Here is a 9,195-nt window from a genome sequence, read left to right as displayed (position 1 = left end):
AAGGCTTCACTGAAGGCTGCTGCCTCCTGGGTCCAGAATTAGATTCACTACACACTTGACTTCAAATTTTTTGATTTCCTTTAGGAAGTTCCTACCTGAGACATGCTTCTAACATGCAGCTGTTTTGTAAAGAAGAGATCATTGACATGTTGAAACTAAAAATCTGGTTTTCAGACTTGTCCTCTTACCTAGAATCTCTTTGCTCATGTGCTACCAGGCAGTTATCTTATTAAAAATAGTTATTAGGTATAATCATTATACCTTTATAACATACAATATATAAAGTCATCTGAAGATATTTTGAATGATTGGTATTTTTTCCACTAAGGGAAAAGGAGGATAATTTCCTCCATTCTTTACCTGTATTTTACCTGTCTCATCTCTTTTCCTAACCTGGACCCTCTCTGTAGTCCTGAGAGCCAACTGGCTTACTTAAACATAAACAAGTCCCTGTAACAAGTGTTCCACTAATAATCAAATACATAAGGCAATTTGATATTTGCATTTATAAAAATGAAGTTAGGTTTGTACACCCTACACAAAAGAATTCCAGATAAATTAAATGAACATGGAATAACTTCATAATCCTAAAATGGGAGAGACATTCCTGAATAAGGTCGGTGGGGGGTGGGGACCCAGAATCCATGTTTTTTTTTCCATGTGCCATGTAAATTTTATCCACCAGGCATTATTGGCAAAGTGCCTGGGGTTGGGACATTTCTTTCTTTTTTTTTTTGAGATGGAGTCTTGCTGTAACACCCAGGATAGAGTACAATGGCACGATCTCAGCTCACTGCAACCTCCGCCTCACAGGTTTAAGCAATTCTCCTGCCTCAGCCTACCAAGTAGCTGGGACTACAGGTGTCCACCACCATGCCCAGCTAATTTTTGTATTTTTAGTAGAGACAGGGTTTCACTGTATTGGCCAGGCTGGTCTCGAAGGGGTTGGGACATTTCTAAGAGCCTATGAGCTGTTTCAAACATAAAAATAAAAATAATACTGCCTCCAATTTTAAAAAAAAATTTTAATTTTTGTGGGTACATAATAGATGTATATATTTATAGGGTACATGAGATACTTTGATACAAGCATGCAATATGTAATAATTACATCATGTTTAAAAATGGGATATCCAACCCCTCAAACATTTATCCTTTCTGTTACAAACAATCCAATTACATTATTTTAGTTATTTTTAAATGTACAATTAAATTATTATTGACTATAGTTACCCCGTTGTGCTATCAAATACTAGGTCCTGACCAGGTGCAGTGGCTCAAGCCTGTAATCCCAGCACTTTGGGAGGCTGAGGTGGGCGGATCACTTGAGACCAGGAGTTTGAGACCAGCCTGGTCAACATGAAGAAACCCCATCTCTACTAAAATTGCAAAAATTAGCCGAGTGTGGTGGCAGGTGCCTGTAATTCAGCTACTTGGGAGGCTCAGTCAGGAGAATCACTTGAACTGGGGAGATGAATGTTGCAGCAAGTTGAGATGGTGCCACTGCACTCCAGCCTGGGCAACAGAGTGAGACACTATCTCAAAGAAAAAAAAAATTCGATCTTATTCATTCTTTCTATTTTTCTGTACCCATTAACCATCCCCACTTCCTCCCCACCCCACCTCCAATACCTTTCTTAGCCTCTGGTAACCATTCTTCTACTCTCTAGCTCCATGAGTTCCATTGTTTTCATTTTTAGCTCCCCAAAATAGGTGAGAACATGCAATGTTTGTCTGTCTGTGCCTGGCTGATTTCACTTAACATAATGACCTCCAGTTCCATCCATGTTGTTGCAAATGACAAGATTGCATTCTTTTTAATGGCTGAATAGTACTTCATTGTGTATATGTACCAATTTTCTTTTCCATTCATCTCTTGATGGACATTTAGGTTGCTTCCAAATCTTGGCTATTGTGAAAAGTGCTGAAACATACATGGGAAACCAGGTATCTCTTTGATACACTGATTTTCCTTCATTTTGAGTACAGACCCAGCAGTGAGATTCTGGTTTGTATGGTAGCTCTATTTTTAATTTTTTGAGGAATCTCCTAACTGTTCTTTGAAGTGATCGTACTAATTTACCCTCCCACCAACAGTGTATGAGGATTCTCTGTTCTCCACATCTGGCCACTGTTTGTTATTGCCTGTCTTTTGGATATAAGCCATTTTAACGGGTGAGATGATATCTCATTGTAGTTTTGATTTGCATTTCTCTGATAATCAATGATTTTGAGCACCTTTTCATATGCCTGTTTGTCATTTGTATGCCCCCTTTTGAGAAATGTCTATTCAGATCTTTTGCCAATTCTTATTTTTATTTTTATTTTTTATTTTATTTTATTTTTTGAGGCAGTCTTGCTCTGTCACCCAGGCTGGAGTGCAGGGGTATGATATTGGCTCACTGCAACCTCCCCCTGTCAGGTTCAGGCAATTCTAATGTATCAGCCTCCCGAGTAGCTGGGATTACAGGTGTGCACCACCATGCCCTACAATTTTTGTATTTTTAGTAGAGATGGGGTTTTACCATGTTGGCCAAACTGGTCTTGAACTCCTGGCCTCAAGTGATCTGCCCACCTCAGCCTTCCAAAGTGCTAAGATTACAGGCATGAGCCACCACACCCAGCCTCTATTGCCCATTTTTAATTGGATTATTAGATATTTTTCCTATTGAGTTGTTTGAGTTACTTATATATTCTGGTTATTAATCTCTTATCAGATGGGTAGTTTCAAATATCTTCTCTCATTCTGTGGGTTGTCTCTTCACTTTGTTGATTGTTTCCTTTGCTGTGCAGAAGCTTTTTAACTTGATATGATCCTATTTGTCCATTTTTGCTTTGGTTGCCTGTGCTTGTGGAGTATTACTCAAGAAACCTTTGCCTAGACCAATGTACCAGAGAGTTCACCCTATCTTTTCTTGTAGTAGTTTCATAGTTGAGGTCTTCAATTTAAAGCCTTACTCCACTTTGATTTTATTTTTGTATGTGATGAGAGATAGGGGTCTAGATTCATTCTTCTGCATATAGATATCCAGTTTTCCCAGTAAAATTTAATGAAGAGACTGATTTTCTCTCAATATGCGTTCTTGGCACTTTTGTTAAAAATGAGTTCACCGTAGATATATGTATTTGTTTCTGGGTTATCTATTCTATGCCATTGATCTATGTGTCTGTTTCTTTGTCAGTACCATACTGTTTTGGTTACTATAGCTCTGTAGTATAATTTGAAGTCAGGTAATGTGATTTCTCTATTTATATTCTTTTTGGTCAAAATAGCTTTGGCTATTCTGCATCTTTTGTGGCTCTATATGAATTTTAGGATTGTTTTTCTATCTCTGTGAACAATGTCATTAGTATTTTGATGGAGATTGCATTGAATCGGTAGATTGCTTTGGGTCACATGGACATTTTAACAATATTGATTCTTCCAATCCATAAAGATGAAATAGCTTTCCATTTTTTGATGTTCTCTTCAATCCCTTTCTTTAGTGTTTTATAACTTTCATTATAGAACTTTTTCACTTCTTTGTTTAATTCCTAGGTATTTAGTTTAACTTGTGGATATTGTAAATGGGACTACTTTTTTTCAGATAGTTCACTGTTGCCATATAGAAACATACTGATTTTTGTATGTTGATTTTTGTATTCTGCAACTTTACTGAATTTGTTTTTCAGTTCTAATAGTTTTTTGGTGGAGTCTTTAGGTTTTTCCAATATAAGATTGTATCAACTGCAAACAAAGATAATTCGACTTCTTCTTTTCAAATTTGGATGCTCTTTATTTCTTTCTCTTGGTTGATTGCTCCAGCCAGGACCTCCAGTACTATGTTGAATAACAGTGGTGAAAGTGGGCATCTTTCTCATGTTCCAGATCTTAGAGGAAAGTCTTTTAGTTTTTCTCCATTCAGTATGATACTAGCTGTGTCTGTAAAATATGGCTATGATTATGTTGAGGTGTGTTCCTTCTAAACCCAGGTTTTTAAGAGTTTTTATTGAGAAGTGATGTTGAATTTTATCAAATGTCTTTTCAGTATCAATTAAAATGATTGTATGGTTTTTTGTCCTTCATTCTGTTGATATGATGTATCACATTTATTGATTTGTGTATATTGAACCATACTTGCATCTCTGGGATAAATCTCACTTGATCATGATGAATGATCTTTTTAATGCATTGTTGAATTCAGTTTGCTAGTATTTTGTTGAGGATTTTTGCATTGATATTCATCAGAGATACTGGGCTATAATTTTCTTTTTTAGATTTGTCTTTGTCTGGTTTTGGTATCCATATAATACTGACCTCACATAATGAGTTTAGAAGTATTCCCTCATCCTCTATTTTTTAAAATAATTTGAGTAGAATTGGTATTCTTTAAATGTTTGGTAGAATTCAGAAGTGATGCCATTGGGTCTCAAGCTTTTCTTTTCTAGGAGATTTTTGTTATGGCTTCAATCTCATTACTCGTTACTGATCTGATCAGATTTTGGATTTCTTCATGGTTCAATTTTGGTAGGTCATATGTGTCTAGAAATGTACTCATTTCCTCTAGATTTTCTAATTTATTGGCACATAGTTGCTCATAATAGCTACTAATGATCCTTTGAATTTTTGTGGTATCCATTGTAATGTTTCATTTTTCATCTCTGATATTATCTATTTGAGTTTTCTCTCTTTTTTATTTAGTCTGGCTAACATTTTGTCAATTTTGTTTATCTATTCAAATAACCAATTTTTTGTTTCCTTGATCTTTTGCATTGCCTTCTTCATTTCAATTTTATTTATTTCTGCTCTGATCTTTATTATTTCTTTTCTTCTACTAATTTTGGGTTTGGTTTGTTCCGGCTTTTCTAGTTCTTTAAGATGCATCATCAGGTTACTTATTTGAAATTTTTCTTCTTTTTTGATATAGGCACTTATAGCTACAAACTGCCCTCTTAGTACTGCCTTCGCTGTATCACGTAGATTTGGTATGTTGTGTTTTCATTATCTTTTGTTTCACGACGTTTTTCAATTTCCTTCTTAATTTCTTCAGTGACCTACTGGTCACTCAGGAGCATATAGTTTAATTTCCATGTATTTGTATAGTTTCCTAAATTCTTCTTGTTATTGATTTCTAGTTTCATTCAGTTGCGATTAGAGAAGATGCTTGATACTATTTCAGGGTTTTTTTTTTTTTTTAATGTTTTAAGGCTTGTTTTGTGACCTAATGTATATAGTCTATCCTTGAGAATGATCCATGTGCTGAGGAGAAGAATGTGTATTCTGCAGCCATTGGATAAAATGTTCTGTAAACATCTATTAGGTCCATTTGTTCTATGGTATAGATTAAGTCTGATGTTTCTTTGTTGATTACCTGTCTGGATAATCTGTCCAGTGCTGAAAGTGGGGTGTTGGAGTCTCCAGCTACTATTGTATTGGGGCCTATTTCTCTCTTTAGCTCTATGTATATCTGGCAGCTCCAGTGTTGTGTGCATATATTTATGATTGTTATATCTTCTTACTGAATTTACCCCTTTATCATTATATAATGACCTTCTTTGTCTCTTCTTATAGTTTTTGTCTTGAAACCTATTTTGTTTGCTATAAGTATCCCACTCTTTTTTGGTTTCCATTAGCAAAGAACCTCTTTTTCCATCCCTTTATTTTCAACCTATGTGTATCTTTGTAGGTAACGTGTGTTTCTTGTAGACATCAGATCATTGGGTCTTGTTTTTTTTATTCATTCAGCCACTTTATATCTTTTGATTGTAGAGTTTAGCCCATTTACATTTAGTGTAATTATTGGTAAGTAAGGACTTACTTGTGCCATTTTGATATTTGTTTTCTGGTTGTTTTGTAGTCATCTTTCTTGTCTTCCTTTTAGTGAAAGTGATTTTCTCTGGCAATGCAATTTAATTTCTTGCTTTTTATTTTTTGTGTATCCATTGTATGTTTTTAAATTTGAGTTTACCATGAGGCTTGCAAATACTATCTTATAACCCATTATTTTTAACTGATGAAAACTTAACACTGATTACATAAACAAACAAGCAAAAAGAAAACTAATAAAAACTCTACACTTTGTTCCCCTGCTTTTTAACTTTTTGTTGTTTGTCTTTATATCTTATTATATTTTCTATGTCCTGAAAAGTTGTTGTAGCTATTATTTGTGATTGGTTTATTGTTTAGTCCTTATACTTAAGATAAGAGTAGTTTTTGAGCAGCTGAGGCAGGAGACTTGTTTGAACCTGGGAGGCAGAAGTTGCAGTGAGCCAAGATCACACCACTGCACTCCAGCCTGGGTGACAGAGTGAGACTTCATCACAAAAAAAAAAAAAAAAAATATATATATATATATATATACACATAAGTAGTTTGCACACCACAATTACAGTGTTATAATATTCTTTGTTTTTCTGCTTACTATTTCCAGTGAGTTTTGAGCCTTCAGATGATTTTTTATTGCTCATTAATGTTCCCTTCTTTCAGATAGAGGAACTCCCTTTAGCTTTTACTGTAGGACAGGTCTGGCATTGATGAAATCCCTCAGCTTTTATTTGTCTTGGAAAGTCTTTATTTTTCTTTTTCATGTTTGAAGAATATTTTCACTAGTACACTATTTTAGGGTAGAAATTTTCTTCCTTAAACACTTTAAATATGTCATGCCACTCTCTCTTGGCCTGTAAGGTTTTCCCTGAAGTCTGCTGTCAGAATTATTGGAGCTCCATTGTGTATCATTTGTTTCTTTTCTCTTGCTGCTTTTAGGATCTTTTCTTTGTTCTTTTTTTTTTTTTTTTCAGAAAGAGTCTTGCTCTGTTGCCCAGGCTGAAGTGCAGTGGCATGATCTTGGCTCACTGCAACCTCCAACTCCCGGGCTCAAGTGATTCTCATGCCTCAGCCTCCCAAGTAGCTGGGATTACAGGCACATGCCAAGATGCCCAGCTAGTTTTTTTGTATTTTTAGTAGAGACAGGGTTTTGCTATGTTGGCCAGACTGGTCTCAAACTCCTAGCCTTAAGTGACCCACAACCTCGGCCTCCCAGAGTTCTGGGATTATAGGCATGGGCCACCGCACCCAGCCCCTTTTGTTATCCTTGATTTTGGGGAGTTTGATTATTAAATGCCTGAGGTAGTTTTCTTTGGATTAAATCTGCTTGGTGTTCTATAACCTTCTGTAGTAGAATATTGATATCTTTCTCTAGGTTTGGGAAGTTCTCTAATATTACCCTTTTGAATAAACTTTCTACCCCTGTCTCTTTCTCTATCTCATCTTTAAGATCAATAATTCTTAGATTTGCCCTTTTGAGGCTATTTTCTAGATGTTGTAGGCATGCTTCATTTTTTATTCTTTTTGCTTTCATCTCCTCTGAGTGTATTTTGAAATAGCCTATTTTCAAGCTCCCTAATTCTTTCTTCAGCTTGGTCAGTTCTGCTGTTAAGAGACTCATGCATCACTCAGTATGTAAATTGCATTTTCAACTCTAGAGTTTCTGCTCGATTCTTTTTAATTATTTCAATCTCTGTTAAATTTATCTGATATAATTCTTTTTTTTTTTTTTTTTTGAGACAGAGTCTTGTTCTATCACCCAGGCTGGAGTGTAGTGGCACAATCTCAGCTCACTGCAACCTCTGCCTCCTGGGTTCAAGTGATTCTTGTGCCTCAGCCTCCTGAGTGGCTGAGACTACAGGTGTGCACCACCACACCTGGCTAATTTTTGTATTTTTAATAGAGATGGGGTTTCACCATGTTGCCCAGGCTGGTCTTGAACTCCTGACCTCAAGTGATCCTCCCATCTTGGCCTCTCAAAGTGCTGAAATTACAGGAATCTGATAGAATCCTGAATTTCTTCTCTGCGTTATCTTGAATTTCTTTCAGTTTCCTCAAAACAGCTGTTTTGAATTATCTATTTGAAAGATCACAGATCTCTGCTCCTCCAGAATTCATCCCTGGTACTTTGTTTAGTTCATTTGGTGAGGTCATGTTTTTCTGGATGGTTTTGATGCTTGTGGATGTTCGTCAGTGTCTGGGCATTGAAGAGTTAGATATTATTGCAATCTGGGCTTGTTTGTGCGCATCCTTCTTGCGAAGGCTTTCCAGGTATTAGAAGGGGACTTGGCCCCAAGCCCAGTAATGCTATGGTTCTTGCAGACTCATAGAGGTACTACCTTGGTGGTCTCGAATAAGATCCAGAAGAATTCTCTGGATTGTCAGGTGAAGACTCTTGTTCTCTTCACTTACTTTCTCACCACCTGTGTGGTGAGCCACTTGGAGCTGGGGATGGTGTGACACAAGCACCCCTGTGGCCATGACTGGGACTGTCCTGGGTCAGACCTGAAGCCAGAACAGCACTGGGTCTCACCCAAGGCCCACTGTAACCACTACCTGGCTACCACTTATGTTCACTCAAGGCCCTATGGCTCGGCAATCAGCACGTAACAAAGCTAGCCAGGTTTGTGTCCTTTTCAGGGTGGCAAGGTCCTCCAGGCCCCAGGTGGGTCCAGAGATATTGTCTGGAAGCCAGGGATTGGAGCTAAAAACCTTAAAAATTTACGTGGTATTTTATTCTACTATGGGTAATGTGGCACTCAAGCCACAGGACAAAGTCATTCCCACTCTTCCCTCCCCTTTCCATAGGCAGAGGATCCTCTCCCCATGCCACCACCACCACCAGCCCATGGAGAGTTCTGCCAGGCCACTGCCAATGTTCACTTAAGGCCCAAGGCCTCTTCAGTCGGCTTTTGGTGAATGATGCCAGGCCTGGGACTTACCCTACAAGGCAGTGGGCTCCCTTTTTGCCCCTCGCAGACCCAGAAATGCTGTCTAAATGCCTAGGCCTGGACTCAGGGACCCTAAGAACCCACTTGGTGCTCTCCCACCCTGTGGCCAAGCTGTTACCTGAAGCCAGCATGTCTCAGGGTCTCACTCAAGGTTCACAGTGTACTACCTGGGAGTCGCAGTTAGTTATTCAGGGCCTAAGGGCTCCTTAGTCAGTAGCTGATGGATCCTGCCAGGACTGGTTCCTTCCCTTCAAGGTAGTGATTCCCTTCTTTCCCAGGGTGTGTCTAGAAATGTCATCCAGGAGCTAGGGCCTGGAATGGGGGCCTCAAGACTCTGCCTGGTGTCCTCTTCTACTGTGGCTGAGCTGGTATCCAAGATGCAAGACAAAATTCTTTTTACTCTTCTCTCTCCTCTCTTCAAGCAAAAGAAAGGAGTCACTT

The sequence above is a fragment of the Homo sapiens genome, chromosome 8, assembly GCF_000001405.40.
Source record: "Homo sapiens chromosome 8, GRCh38.p14 Primary Assembly".
Taxonomy (NCBI): domain Eukaryota; kingdom Metazoa; phylum Chordata; class Mammalia; order Primates; family Hominidae; genus Homo; species Homo sapiens.
Note: the sequence above shows the minus strand (reverse complement) of the source record.